The sequence below is a fragment of the Homo sapiens genome, chromosome 10, assembly GCF_000001405.40.
Source record: "Homo sapiens chromosome 10, GRCh38.p14 Primary Assembly".
NCBI classification, from domain to species: domain Eukaryota; kingdom Metazoa; phylum Chordata; class Mammalia; order Primates; family Hominidae; genus Homo; species Homo sapiens.
In genome coordinates, this window is record NC_000010.11 from 104,373,905 (window position 1) to 104,390,191 (window position 16,287).

The window sequence follows — 16,287 nt, forward strand, 5'->3', positions numbered from 1 at the left end:
GACTCTCGATTATCATCTAAGGTAAGGTGTTGTTTCCTACCAGTGTGCAGTATGGATTCTTAAGAAAATAATGGCATGACAATAAGCTTCTGCTTTTGGGGAAAAAGTCAATACCAAATGTTGAAACCATAAAGCCAAGATTGAGAGATTAAATTAAATAAAAGTTAAAATTTTCTATATTCTGTATTCTCTATAAATGAAGGCAAATCGACTAAAAGAATGTCAGAGCTCTTTGTTACATGTAAAGGGCTTCTTTTAAAAATCCACAAAAGAGGTCGGGAGTGGTGGCTCACGCCTATAATCCCAGCACTTTAGGAGGCTTTGGCGGGTGGATTGCTTGAGCCCGGGAGTCTGAGACCAGCCTGGGCAATATGGCAAAACCCCATCTCTACCAGAAAAAAAAAAGAAAGAAAGATAAAAATTAGCTGGGCATGGTGACACACGCCTGTAGTCCCAACTACTCAGGGGGCTGAGAGGCAGAGGTTGCAGTGAGCTGTAGTTGCACCACTGCACTCCAGCCTGGGTGACAGAGCGAGACCTTGTTTCAGGAAAAAAAAAAAAAAAAAAAAAAAAAAAAATCCAGAAAGGATAAACATATTATGAGAGAAATTGGCAAAGGGCAAATTGGGCAATTTGAAAAACAGAAATACAAATAAATGGTCATTAAACATGAAGAAGTAGTAAACTTCACTACTAAGCAAAGAAATGCAAATTAAATACTGACATATTGGTTTTTAAACATCTATCAGACTGTCAAAGATCAAAGAGAATGATGATATCCAGGGGTGGTTTGGGTGTGGATTTAAATTGCTATTAATTTTCTAGAGAGAAATTTGGCAGTAGGAGAGAAATGTCTATTAAAAATCCCCTTTGATCCAGGACTTCCTCTTCTACAGGAAAAATATGAATAAGAACTTTCACAGGATTATTGCTTATAACTGCAAAAAAAAAAAAAAAGAAAAAGAAGCAACTTAAATGTTAAAATGAGGGATTGGCTAAATAAATTATGTATTTTCACACAGTGAAAAACCATGGGTTTTTAAAAATTCGGATGCTGATGCACATTTATAGTATGGAAAGGTATTTATTCTATGCTTGTTAATTATGAAAGCAAGCTACAAAATAGTATACTATGTGTACAATAAGCTTCTGTTTTGGGGGAAAAACTCAACACCAAATGTTGAAACCATAAAACCAAGATTGAGAGATTAAACATAAAAATTAAAAGTAAAAATTTTCTGTATTCTGTATTCTCTATACAGAATATAGTGTGTACTATATACTTAGTGTACTATGATTCCCTTTTGGGGTGTATGTGTATTTACAAATATATATATAAATATATGTATTTATAAATATATTTATATACACGTATATTTACATAAGAATAAGCTGGGAAAGAGACATATTAAAATACTAAGTAGATTCTGGTTGATTTAAATTTTTTCACTTCCGTTTATCTGAATTTCTAATTTCATTCTGTATTTCTATTTACTTGTATAATAAAAAACATTTAAAAACAGCAAGTGGCCGGGTGCAGTAGCTCATGCCTGCCTGTAATCCCAGCAGTTTGGCAGGTTGAGACAGGCAGATCACCTGAGATCAGGAGTTCGAGACCAGCCTGGCCAACATGGTGAAACCCAGTGTTGATGAAATAATCAAACTCTGTAAAATATTTTAAGAGATTAATTCTGAGGCACATGTGACTGACCATGGCCCGTGACACAGACCTCAGGAGGTCCTGAGAACATGTGCCCAAAGTGGTCGGGGTACAGCTTGGTTTCATATATTTTAGAAAGGCATGAGACATCAATCGAATACGTTTAAGAAATACATTGGTTTGGTTCAGAAAAGCAGGACAATTCAAACGGGGGTGGATGGGGTCGGGGGGGGCTTCCATGCTATAGGTAAATTTAAACATTTTCTGATTGACAATTGGTTGAGTTTATCTGAAGACCTGGGATCAATAGAAAGGAAATGCTCAGGTTTAGATAAAGGACTGTGGAGACCAAGTTTTATTGTGCAGAGGAAGCTTTCAGATAGCAGACTTCAGGGACAGCAGGTTATAAAATGTTTCTTATTGGACCTAAAAGGGTACCTGGCTCTTTTTTGATTATCTCCTGGATCTGGAAGGGAAGGAAGGAAAACAAAGGGAAAAGGGGATTCTTTATAGAATGTGGATTTTTCCCACAAGAGACTTCGCAGGGCAATTTCAAGGTATGGCAAGGAAATACATTTTGGGGTTAAATATTTCGATTTTATTCCTTGTTATGCCAGAGTCAGATTGGAAAGTAAGTCATGATATACAGCGTTAAATAAAACCCATCAGATGAGAATTTATGGTTTGTAGGGCATGACTCCCCAGACCTCTTAGATAGGAATTTGGGCAAGAGGAAAAAAAAAAATCAGAGCTAGTCCTCACCTGTCTTTACTAAAAATACAGAAAATAATTAGCCGGGCATGGTGGTGCTGCACCTGTAGTCCCAGCTGCTCGAGAGGTTGAGGCAGGAAAATCCCTTGAACCTGGGAGGCGGAGGTTGTAGAGCCGAGATTGTGCCACTGCACTCCAGCCTGGGCGACAGAGCAAAACTCCGTCTCAAAAAAAAAAAAAAAAAAAGAAAAAAAAGCAAGGACATTTTTGGCGTTGGAGAAATCTTAGCCCTGTCACCTGTTGGCTTCAGACTTTTGGCAAATGGATTAATCTCTGCAAGCCTCAGTTTCCATCTCTTTAGTGAGAGAGGGAGACCTACCTCACTTGGTTATACCAAAGGTCACATACACTTGGTTAATAGTAGTTTTATAGCTAGAGACAAACATGTAAAGCAGTTTTTGTATCACTTCGGCTTTTGTAGATTCTCTTAGGTCGACTCTACGTTTATTATTATTTTTTCTCCCTGGGGATTCAGAGGTAGAGGCTTCAAAGAAACAAGCAGAACTTGACAGAAAGGCAATGGACGAGCTTCTAAGAGAAAGGGACATACTAAATAAGGTGAGTGTGTTACAGTCACACTGGTAAATAAATGTCTTTCTTCAGCACTGTAATATCTGGCTATAGCCAGTTGGATGGGAAAAGAAAACTCCGAGGCAAACAAAAGTGGATTAGAATAAATAATAGTGCTTAATTTTCCTCTAAGCAGCTGCCTACAGTCTATGATTCACTGGCCATGAATTGCAATTGCGTTATCACCTGAGAACACAAAAAGACTTTGGAGAATTAGCATATAAGCCAGGAGGGGATTTCAGAGTGTTTTGTGGATTCTGTTTTCATTGCTGGTGTGCTATTTGGCATCCTAAGCAGTTTATCAACATTTCTGAATTTAATATCTATAATCGACAACTTGCTAATCCAAAAATTACAAGTGAGTGCTAATTGAATTTTAGCTCTGAGGTGTTAGGTGTAGGAATGGCAGGTCTAAGCTTTCCTCCATCTTTTCAGGGTTGCTGTAGGTTTTGGTTTTTGTTTTCTGTCCTTATCTTGTCTGACCTTCCAGCTCAGTGTGGTCCAAAGCTAAGGGAGGGGTTACGGCAGCTTGAAGGCAGAGATCTGAAGATTCTCCATTAAATGTAGGACCCCTCCTTTTTCCTATCCCACTTCCTGAAGAGTTTTTCCATTGAAAGTCACTTTTAGTTACAGGGAATTAGGGTAAATTTTCCTGCTCAAGGATTTCTTCCAGGGAGGAAGAAGCCACAGGCCAGGTGTGGATGGCTGGGTGGTTGTGGGGGATGGTGGCAGGGTGCTTCTATAACAGCCACGGCCAAGACAGTTTCATCTCATCAAGGCAGAAACGGTCTATATTTGTTCATTCTGACTTTCATTAATTCTTTAGGTTTCCCAGAATTGAACAAATGTTAACAAAATACACTATACTTTAGCCTAAAATAGACTATTCAGGGAATCTCAGGAACTTATAGATTAGATCTTCACATGCTAAGCACTTTTAAAGAAAATCATTGAAGTGTTTTTTCTTCTTGGACAATCTTGGAAATTGCTTTTTTATTCTATACATTTGTACATATAAACAATAGTGTTGGATTTAGATTTTTAAATTTATATTCAACACACATTTAATCTGTTTATATTTTATATGTACTAATAAACAACCAATAGGTTTTCTGCCATGATAAGACATGTAGTGCAATAGTAATTTTACATTTATTTGTTGATTTGATTAATGTCAATTCTTCCTTTAGGGCAGGGTATACTTTTGTATTTTTTATTTCCTGGCCTTTGTATTCTTAGTGCCTAGCACAGCACCCAACTCTGCAGGTATGCAATGAACTTTAATTGATAATACGTTATTTCCCCATTGACTCAGTTGAAATGCCACCTTCATCCAAAGAATGAGTGAAATGGTTTTGACAGGTAGCAACATGAATATATTTTGATTCTTTTAGTGTCATGTGGAAGTGGCTTTATCTTTTATAGAACAAATGTTTAACCCAATACTTGAAAAAAAAGTTGATCTTTTCTGTTTTCTACATTGTCACCCAACCAACATTTAATAGGCCTTTTACCTGAGTATTGTCCAGCAGTTTTCAGACCTATCTGTGGTTCTGTGTTGGTTAGAGATTTGAGAAGGAACTCTAAAGTGCCTCATGGAACTCAAGGATACAGCTGGGCCTCAGGAACCCATTGGAAACTGGCCTGGCATTCTTGGGATGAAAGCATCTCTCTCTGCCAGTTGACTTCCTGCTGAGTTTTTGCTCCATTCTTCTTTCAGTGAAGATTGTCACTGTCTCTCTCGTTTTCCAGTCCATATGACAAAAAATGGCTGTCACCAATAGCTCCCAAGGTTATATCTTCTACTGAGTTGCAAAAATCTAAAGGCCCTATTTCAAAACTCCTGGGGAAGGGTCATTTGATCCATTCAGTTGCAGTTAAAGAGGTGAACACTTTTGCATGAGCATGGCTGCCAGATTGCACTGCTACTTACTCTGTGTTTCAGGGGAACTTGGGCAGCCAACCCAAGATGTTTCCTTTTCAGCATCAGAAATCTCCAGTGCAGCTTAAAAAAAAAAAAAAAAGTAGGTGCCTGGGTCCTATCCCAGACCCACTGAATCAGAAACTTCGGAGTTGGAACATGAGCATCTGCATTTTTAAAAAACTGAGTTAATTGTTTTTGTTGTGGTTAAATACACACAACACAAAATTTACTATTAGTGACATTTAGTACATTCACAATGTTGGGCAACCGTCACCACAATCTAGTTTGACAATCTCGTCCCCCCAGAAGAAACCCTGTACCTATTCAGCAGCCACTCTCTATCCCCCGCTCCTCCCACCCCTGGCAACTACGAATCTTCTTTCAGTTTTTATGGATCTGACTGTCCTGGATATTTATATAAATGGGATCATACACTATGTGAACTTTAGTGTCTGGCATGTTTCATTCAGAACAGTGTTTTCAAAGTTCATCCGTTGTAGCACGCATCAGTACTTCATTTCTTTTTACGGCTGAATGCTATTCCACTGTGTGGATATACTATATTTTGCTTATCTGTTTATCAGTTGATGAACATTTGGGTTGTGTCTATCTTTTGGCTTTTGTGAATTATTTTACAATGAATACTCATGTACAAGTTTTTGCTTTCGTTTTGAGTATATATCCAGGAGTGAAATTATTGGGTCATGTGTTAATTCTAGGTATCTGCATTTTTATTAAGCTGCTTTTTATCTTCCTTTGTAATCAAAGCCCAAGTTATGTGATTAGGTTCAGTTCTAACCTCACAAGATAAAGGCTAGAACTAGACTGGAGGTTAAAGGCATGGACTCTGGGGTTAGCCAGCCATGGATTCACATCTTTGCTCTGCCACTTCCCCATTGTATGAACTTGTGGGCAAATAGCTTAACTCTTCAGTCTCAGTTTCCTACCTCTAAAATGGGGCAATATGGTGCCCATTTCTTAGGGGCGTTGTGGTTGCTTAGTGTATTTATATGTGTGTTTAAAGTGCCTTGTGCAAAATTAGCATAACAAACTCTTAATAAGCTGTAGAGAATATGATCATTTTTATTCATCCAAAAGACAAGATATCTAATTATGTTAGAGATGAGGCAGAGGGTAAACTTAACCCCAAATCCTTGAACATTATGAGTAATGTGACTGCTTTGTGCCCTTATTTTTAGAACATGCTTAAGGCGGTCAATGCGACCCAGAAGCAGACAGACTTGGTAAAGCTCCATGAACAAGCCAAGAGGAACCTGGAGGGAGAAATCCAGAACTACAAGGATGAGGCTCAGAAGCAGAGAAAGATCATCTTTCATCTGGAAAAGGAGCGTGACCGGTACATCAACCAAGCCAGTGACCTTACGCAAAAGGTAAGCTGCTCAGTGATGTTGTGGGTGGAGCAGAGGCACATTCCTTCCTCCGCATTTCTGATGGTCACAAACTGTTGCAAAGAGAATTTATTCAGATTTCTGTTTGTAATTTGTGTGAAGATTTGGGAGGAACGATGTGGACAAAATATAAGCTGTTTCCGAGCTGATTCTGGGCCACATTGTGAAAAGGACAATGTTTATGCTTGGTGCTCTCTCATTTCTACTTTCCAGGGCCCTCTTCCAACTTCTGGGTTCTCCCTCTTCTCTGTTGCCATGCTGTGCAGCATCCCTGGGCTGGCACCAGGGCTGCCAGCATCATCTCTCAACTCTCCAGTCTCCGCACCCACCCAGCATCTGTCACTGAAACTTTTGTCCCCTCAGGGAAAGGACTCCAACTTGATGTTAGGAGAAAAGCATCTAATTAAATGACCACAAGTTAAGATGTGAGTGACTACTGCATCTGCTAGGTGTGTCAATATTCAAAGAGCATTTTTTATTCTAAAACGATTATGAACTCCTGCAATCTCAGCACTAGGGAAGCTGAGGCAGGATGATTGCTTGAGCCTGGGAGCTTACAAGCAGCCCAGGCAACATGTCGAGACCCTGTCTCTACCAAAATAAATTAAAAAGGAAAAAAACTATTGTGAGCTGGGCACGATGGCTCACATCTGTAATCCCAGCACTCTGGGAGTCCAAGGGGGTGTGGATAGCTTGAGGCCAGGAGTTTGAGACTAGCCTGGACAGCACGGTGAAACCCTGTCTCTACAAAAAATACAAAAATTAGTTGGGCATGGTGGTGTGCTCCTATGATCCCAACTACTTGGAGGGCTGCGGTAGGAGGAACGCTTGAGCCCGGGAGGTGGAGGCTACAGTGAGCTGTGGTTGCAGCACTGCACTCCAGCCTGGGCAACAGAGTGAGATCCTGTCTCAAAACAAACAAACAAACAAACAAACAGACAAACAAACAAACACCACTGGAGGAAATCCAAACATTGGGGAGCTGAGTTCTAGATCTCTGCTTCTTATAAACTGCTTAGGAGAGAGAAGGCTCGAGGATATATGTCTCCAAGAATGGCTTTGGAGATTTGGATTTCATTTTAGCCAGCTGTCTTAGTGCATTGCCTGCATTAAGCATGAGTGGTTAAAATAGTACTCTCTTTAATGCATTCATAGATGGCATAGAGCAGTGGTCTAGGAATGGGGTGGGAGGCTGGGAAATGGAGAAAAGTTTTAGTTACGAGGCTGATAACAAAGTTTGGGAGAAAAGACTCATTTAATCACCTTTTCTCCCCCTAGCAAGATGTGATCTGTTATGCAAGGTAAGCCCTCTCTTCCATCTCCTCAATGAAATTCAGGTTACATTCTGCAGTGCTTACCAATGCTCTTGCATGCTTAAATTTTTTTTTTTTTGGAGTGAAATGTCAAAGAAGGTGACAAGGGACAGCCAATATTTGTATTACAGAAATAAAGAAAGTGGGAAACAAACTTTACTGATAGGAAGTCAGCTTCTTCCCACTTAGACTAAATCAATGCCTTGCAGACGCTTTGGGAAGGGCTACTGGAGGAGCACAGTGCCTTGGCTTTGTCTAACTCTGCAGGACAGTGATCCCCAATGGATTCTCACACCCCTAATTGGGAGCCATTGGAGCAGAGCATATTTCTCTTCTGACTTAACCATCTTAGAAGCTCCAGTGATTGATTTACTGACTCTGAGGACTCGTTGTCAATTTAGGCCCTGGTATTATCGAGCTTGGACTCGCACGTTAGCTTCTGTATTCATCAGTTTACACTGCACAAATAACCTTCAAACCTTAGTGGTTCGCAGCAATAAAGATCTATGTTTTGCTCATATAACTGGCCTTTGCAGGTCAGCTGCATCCCTCCTTTTTGTCCTCTTCTTTCCAGGCTGACTCTGTCAGGATGCCCTGGCCTCTGGACAAAGGGAAATGGTGAAACAGTGGACCCTCAGGGAGCTTCTGAGCCTCTGCTGACAAGGGAAGGGCACAGATCCTACCCACTCATATTCCACCGGCCAACCAAGTCACAGGGCTGTGCCGGACATCCTGGGCAGGAGTGTGGTCCTCCTTAGGGAGGGGCCCTGTAGGGTGAGGCAGCAAATATATTTGAACATAAAATGTCATCTGTTGCAGCCTCCAGTTTCTTCTTCCTGATAAGCAATTTCTCTCCATTCCGAGGTGCCATCACACCACCATCAGAGCTAACTCTCAAAAATTCCAGTGTGGTTTTATTATTACTCTGGATATAAACCTCTGTCACCTCTCCCTGGGGCAGGGCTTCCTAACACTTTTCATATCACAGCATATATAAAAAATTACATGTTGATACGGTTTAGCTCTATGTCTCCACCCACATCTCATCTTGAATTGTAATCCCCATGTGTCGAGGGAGGGAGGTGATTGGATCATGGAGGAGTTTTCCCTAAGCTGTTCTCATGATGGTGAGTGAGTTCTCATGTGAACTGTTGGTTTTATAAGTGTTTAGAAGTTCCTCCTTCATTCTTTTCTTTCCTGGTGACTTGTGAAGAAGATGCCTGCTTCCCCATCCACCATGATTGTAAGTTTCCTGAGGCTTCCCCAGCCAGCGGAACTGGGAGTCAATTAAACCTCTTTTCTTTATGAATTACCCAGTCACAGGGAAGTTTTTTGTAGCAGTATGAAAATGGACTAATGCACATGTCAGTGGCACATGGGAATAAGGAGATGAAGCTGTTTGGGGCTGGAGGAACCAATCCAGGGATGCCAGCTGCCCAGGTCCCACCTGGCCATCCTGTGGGTATAGTAAAATCAGTATTTTAGCACACATCTGAAACCCATGAAAGGCACAGCAGTTGGGATACTCTGCATTAATGGGATAGAGTCCAACCTCTTTGTTCTCTGTGGAAAGTTCTGTCCTTTCTCTGCATGGCACATTCCTATTCACCCTTCGAGACCTAACTCAAATGCTCAGGTCAAGCTCCCTCTGGTTCCTTATGGGCAGAGCTTGTCACTTCGTACTTTTATGGATTTGTTAATGTCTCTGGAATGATGATTATCAATCTATAGTGTAATTATTTATTTGCATATTTGTTTTATCCACTTTATAGTGAGCTTTTGGGGGCAAGGACTTTATTTCATTCATTTCTTTATTTCTAGCATCCTGGCACATGAGAGACACCAAAAAAGTATTTGTTAAACAAATGGATAGATGATAAGTGGTAAAAAGAATGCTGCCACTGATTTTAATATACAATTGTATATATTTCTTGGCTTCCTTGTAAAAGAGAGATTCGGATACCAAGTTTTTTTGTTAACTGTTTTTCACAAGTTCTGATATTTAACCACACATAATGTCTTACCTAAATAATTTAAACACAAGTTCTTAAAATATTACTTATCACCTACAATTTTTCTGTGTCTTGCTTAACCCCTGACAGCATGTATCAGTTGCTACGCAACTTGTGCATCTCTGGACTTCTTAAGGATATGTATGTCTCTTTGTCCTCTTCTCATATTTCTTTCTTTCTTTACTGTCCAACACACACACACACACACACACACACACACTCATTCTCACAAACGAAAAGCTCCCTTATGTGCATTCTATTTGTAGAGTATTGAGAAATAATATCAAAGGCTGGGGAAGATGTCATGAAACTGACATTTTCTTCTACTTCTAAAGTGAGTATACATTGTTCCAAGTTTATCTTTTTGACCCAGAATTTTCCTTTTTAAGAAAAAACTGAATCTAATGAAAAATAAGAAATGGAGAGATTTATATGAAAGAATATTTTTTCAAAACATAATTTATAATAATGAGAACTAGGAATCAGCCCCCCGAAAGGTTAAATAAATTGTGTTACATTTATTTGACATAGTATTATGTAGCTGTTAAAATCATGTGTTTGCAAATTATTTTTAAAGATGGGAACATGTTTCTAATATGAATCTGAGAAAGACAATGCAAAATTATTTGTAGAGTTTGTCTCCAGTTTTGTCTGTATGCATACAAAAAGGACTGGAGACATACCTAATTTGGCTCCTCCAATATCACTAAAGAATATTAGAAATTGGGAGGTGGACTGGGACTTGGCATGTCACTGTGTTTCCAGCTGTAGATTTGAAAGTGGATCTGCCACCACCCTAGGGTACTAAGAATTGGGCAAAGGTAAACCCCTTCACCTTAGTAGCATTGTTCTTAGGTTGTGGTAAATCCTGTCTTGCTCAAGAACGAATAAAGAAAAAAGCAGCCTAATGGAGCCTATGGGAAAACATGCCTGAGAACCAAAGAAAGAGAATGGCTTCTAGAAGCCCCACGGTAAAGGTCTGGCTCTGAAAATGCTTCTATGGCAAGAACTTTAGGTTGAACTCTTTGAAATAGCCTTTTTGTGGTAAGTAAGAAACAACTGACTATCAGCGATTTCATAAGGTTCTTAACCTAATAGAAGAAAATGCAGAGAAAAGGTTTGGCTTCCTTCAAAGATTGTAAGTACATAAAACCTGGTGCCAAGTTTCCCCTTGTGGGAGGAACAGTGTTTAGCAAAATACCTTGATATTTGCCTTGGTTTGAAAGGTGAGGCTCCATGAACCAGAGTGAAACAGTCATGTGAGAAAAGTAACAGGAAGTGGGAAAGGAGGAGTGGGTGGTGAGCAGGAAATAGGGAGTAGATAGGGAAGAATGGGAGAGGAGGGCACACAATGTCAGCATCAAGGCAGTAGGCTGGGTGCTGCTGGAAGTGAGGAGTTCCCTAAGACAGGAATGATGGAGGAATTGCAGAAAACAGTGATGTCCAATATTGGATTTTAAGTTCCTCAAACCTCCGGTGGCAAATCTGCTACATCAACCCTGCGTTGTGATTGCACTTTGGTGGCACAGGCATGGGGTGGTGAGGATGTGAGGTGACACATCCCAGAAAAAGGACAGTATGTGCAAGAGACAAGATGCACCTGAGAATCTAGAATGCTATGGCAACAGCAAACCAGAGCCACAGCAAGTAGAAGAAATGCAATTCTTCCAAGAATTCTTGGAGATATTAGAGGGTTTGGGGGCTTCCCAGCACATAGAATGGAAAGTCTAGACTTATTGTTGTTGTAAAGGACAAGGTGACCCCAGTAGAATACAGGACTATCACCTGAGTTATAAATCCAACATGGCGTTACTGCTAGGAGAAAGCAAAGATGAAATAAAAAGGAAGAGTTGGACAAAATAAGAATCAATTGTATAAAAACTAAAAAAGAAAAAAGAAAAAAAAGGCAGATTTAAAATCCACACCAAAGTTAGTAAAGAACAGAATTGATTGTTGTGGAAAATGGAATCAGGCCAGGTGTGGTGGCTCATACCTGTAATCTTAGCACTTTGGGAGGCTGAGGCAGGAGGATCCCTTGAGGCCAGGAGTTCAAGACCAGACTGGGCAACATAGGAGACCTGGTCTCTACAAAAATGATCATAGAGAAGATAAGAGAGAAGAGGGCAGAGAATAGAAACCAGCCTACAGAGAGTTGGTTTCTGATTATGGAAATGAGCCCCTGGTCAAGGATGTAGTGGGAAAATATTTTCTGGAGATGAAGAAAGACCTGTACAGGCTGACCATGTTCCAGGCAAAATCAGTGACAGGAGACTCTCCGTAGACTTGCCCTAGAGGAAAGCCCTTTTGTGTGTGTGTTTCATCTACAATAATGAAGAAAAATTCTCTGAGAATTTAGGCAAGAAGAAAAAGCAGATAGATGCCTAGTTACCCTTTTTTGTTTTAATAGGAAAATGAGTGGAAGGAACCATATTAACATATTAATAGTGGTTATCTTTGGGTGATAAGGATACAAATTGTTTAAATTTGTTCCTTTTTTGCTTTTTTTTTTTTTTAGCTATTCTAAAATGGATGGGCTGGGCATGGTGGCTCATGCCTGTAATCCCAGCACTTTGGGAGGCCAAGGTGGGTGGATCACCTGAGGTCAGGAGTTCAAGTCCAGCCTGGCCAACATGGTGAAACACCATTTCTACTAAAAATACAAAAATTAGCTGGGAGTGGTGGTGGGCACCTGTAATCCCAGCTACTTGGGAGGCTGAGGCAGGCAAATCGCTTGAACCTGGGAGGTGAGGTTGCAGTGAGCTGAGATTGTGCCATTGCACTCCAGCCTGGGTGACAAGAGTGAACCACCATCTCAAAAAAAAAAAAATAAATAAATAAATAAAAATAAGAAAAAGTAAAATGGTTGTGTATTACTTTAGTATCCTGATTTAAAAAATAAATAAACACTATTAATAACCTTGCCTTTCTTTCAGGGACCAAATAAAATTCCACCTTTCCCAAGAAGCTTTATTAAAAGTGATCTCTAATTCCTCTGTACTTGGCTCCCCTCTGGCAGTTGAGGAGGCCCGTGTGCACGTAACTGTTACTTGTGTATGTCTGCCTCATTCTACACACTGGCTTCTTGGGGGCGAGTCTTATTCAATTTTGAGTTCTTCATATTGCTTATTTACTAAGTAAATACTCAAATATTTTTTGAACTAAGAATGAATGGAAAGCATAATTGGACATCTGAGTTAACTAGTCAGAGGCTCACTTTTAAGTATCTGTATCAAGTTATTTTCTAACAATATATTTACTTGTGACTATGGGTCTGCCCTTCCTTTAAATTCATGTGAAACATGTTACCATGATGGATGATTTTATCTGAATTATCATTGGCATTTTTAGCTGTGAGTGACTTCCAGACCTGGTCTCTTCTTCCTTCTGAGCTGCAAAACAGCATCAACATTTGCCTTCGTGTTCTTTCTTGCTTAGAGAAAGAAAAGTGAACTTGAAGATGCTAAACTTCTACATTATATTGTATTCATTTAGCTTGGCATTTGCCAGTGAGGAAGAAGATCCCCTTTTGTGCCTGAACTGGATGGCTCAGAATCCCAAACCTTTTCCTATGTGTTTGTCTCCATCAACACTTGCAATAATAATAGTGCATGATAAATAGCCACAACATCTCCGTGGGATACAAAAACAAGCACTTATTTCTTATTCACACACCTGCAGTTGACAGAGGTTCAGCTGACCTAAACTGGGCTTGCCTGGACTTGGCTCTGGGATGTGGATTGGGCTCAGTTCTGGACCACATGTTTCTTATCCTCCACGTGCATGTTCTTCTCATGGGGGAAGGAAGGAGAACAAGAGACAAAGCCACGCATACAGGCACATGTCATGTCTCTCTACTTGTCTGATATTCTGACCTCCCATTGGCTATAGCGAGTCACATGGCCAAGGCTAACATCAACAGCAAGGGAAATGCACTTCTCTCTTTAGGTTGTGGGACAAGGGGAGAGAGTGAACATTTGTTAAACCGTAAGATAATCTACCCCAGGATTACAGCAGTTTTTATCCTCATGATTTTCCTTTGCTGCACTCTAAATTTCACTATTCAGATAAATTGAGAGGCATGAGAAATGGCATGGTAAGTTGTGATCTACCATATTTCCTGCTTTCTGAACTTTTACATGTTCTAGATAAAACCACTCCTAGTAAATTATTAAATCTGCTGAACATTTTTCACATGATGCACTTGCCTCATTTTAGGATCTCCCTCTTTTTTCATTTCAAATATTAAACTTCTGGCAGTCACCTCGCAGACATTTTATATGCCAGAAAACATTCTTTTGCAACAAATCCCTAACAACAAATTTCCTAGCTCTTTGCTCATTTGCCTATAACACTGTCAAGCAAAGCTCTTCAGGACAGAGATTCCAGGAAATGAATAATAATGTGCTTTCAAGGACTTAATGCAAGCAAAGAAACCAAAAATTGATTAAAGAAATATTGTCCACTAGATAGATATCTTCATAATGAAATAAAGCTCCTGTTTCATTGATGTTAATTTGAATTTTATACAGAGCCTCTGTAATTGGGTAGAATCCTGGAGAGAGGAATCAAGGGAACACAAATTATAAGCTTTTTCTATCATAATAAAAGAAGCATGCTTCATATCATTACTTTTCCTGCAGAACAGGATTTGATTCGGAGGAAAATCAAATTAACTTTTTAAAGTACTAGTATTATGTAACGTGACGTAGTGTAAACTATCATAATAATTTGTTAGCATTTATTAAATGATTAAATTACTATATGCTAAGTACTTATATGCTGGCGTAGACATATATTCTCTCACTTAAATCCTCATAATAGCCCTGTGAGATAGATATTATTATATCCCCCATTCATAATATAATATGTTATGCAATTGAATCAAAGCCATAGATATGCCTCTCTAAATTCAAGATAGAGGGTAAAATAACAAGGCAAGAAAAATAGGGAAGACTCAGCATTTCGCAAGCCAGGGCGCATAGTTGTTTTCTATTATTGCAGAGTGAGTTTTTCAGTTTCATTATGAAGGTAAAAGCATTGTCAGCATTCAAACCATTGACATCAAGTCAGAAAAACTTATTGGAGAAGTTTATTGTACTGATATTTCATCAAATGTACATTAAGGGGTTCCAAATGCAATGACCTACTTTCTAATCCCACCTTGGTCTATGTGATGTTTTGGCTATGCTGCAGTTTTCCTGTATGCGTTATTGATTTCTATCTCACTCTTATTTCTATTGGCAGGTTGTTTTAACGGCAACAGAAAAGGTAGGAGTAGGTTATAAACTGAGGCTGTACTTCTGTCGTGCACTGTAAGCATTTTCTGGACTCCCCTGAAGCCTAGGAGTGCCAGGAGCACCAATTCTCTGGCTGTAATAAAACTTTCTATATTTGGATGTGATTTATCTCATGAGTTGGTTTGAGGTATCTCAAAGTGTATATTAATTAAGCTCCAGCCCCACAGCTGGCAGCCTGTGTCTCTGACATACCACTTCTAATGGGGACAGCTTGCTGACAAGAGGTTTGGCTACTACTTAACACCCATATACTTTATGAATTTTCAGGATTTGAACTTCTGCATGACTTTGGCCTGAATGATTTCCATAAAAATAAACCGAGTCCCAACACTTAGAAATACATTGCTTGTAAATTGTCTTTTCTGCTCGTTTCAATATTTGTTAATTCCTTTTATCTTCTTGGTGTCCTGACGGGTTCTTATTACTCCAGCTTCAAGGATCCAGAAGCAAGTTTGTGACTTTTGTGCATGTTGTCTGCAGAAAGACAGACCATGCTAGTTGGATGCTCAAAAAAGAAATGCCCCTGGCTACCTCCTTTCTCTGTGGCATTATTCTGCCTGTGCAAAGAATTATTCCTGTTCTAACATCTCTGAAAGTGACTGAACAAACAATTTTTTTCCTTTCTCTAACGTGCTGCTTGATATTCTGAATGCTGATGATGCTGTTCAAAGTATTTTCAATCTATTAAGCATTAACCTTTCAGTCTTAGATTCTCCCATAACACTTGGTGCATATCTCAGTTTACTGGTTATATCCATTCCTTGATTATCCATTCTATGGTGAAGTCACACCCTACAAGTGAACTTGAGGGTAGAGAATGTGTCTTATTCTTCTTTCTATCATGCGTGCTTTTACAGTGCCTGCCATAGATGGGTCCTCAGTACCTGTTCATGGAGTGAATGAATAAATGGGGGAGTGAATGAATAAGTGAACAATACTGTACTCTGTTCACTTTATGAAACTAACAGAAACCTTGAGATTAAAAAAGAACTAAAAAGAAAGATATAGGCCTAGCTCACTTGGGAAAATGCATGCAGAATCCTAAATGAAATTCCAGCAAACCAAATTCAACAGTACATTAAAAGAATCATCCAGTATGAACAAGGAGGGTTTATCCTGAAGCTGCAAGGATAGTTTTCTATTAAGAAAGCTATTGCTGGTGGTGTGGAAATGTAAAGTGTTACAGCCATTTTGGAAAGCAATCTAGCAATATCTATTAAAGTTGAAAATATATATGTCTTTTGAGCCAGCTATTCTACTCCTGGGAATCCATCCCACAGAAATAAATGCACAAGTGCATGAGAATACACATACAAAAATGTTTCCTGTAG

At 39.5% G+C, this 16,287-nt stretch overlaps 1 protein-coding gene across 3 annotated transcripts in view; it reads left to right on the forward strand.

Annotated features, from left to right (window-relative positions):
- The window catches only part of CFAP58 (cilia and flagella associated protein 58), a 116,583-nt gene that overhangs the window by 35,385 nt on the left and 64,911 nt on the right, over nt 1-16,287 (forward strand). For all 3 annotated transcript variants that reach the window (NM_001400226.1, NM_001400227.1, NM_001008723.2), the window contains 2 exons: nt 2,907-2,989; nt 6,125-6,316. In NM_001400226.1, the coding sequence (NP_001387155.1) occupies nt 2,907-2,989; nt 6,125-6,316 (275 nt within the window). The remainder of the gene's footprint in view (nt 1-2,906; nt 2,990-6,124; nt 6,317-16,287) is intronic.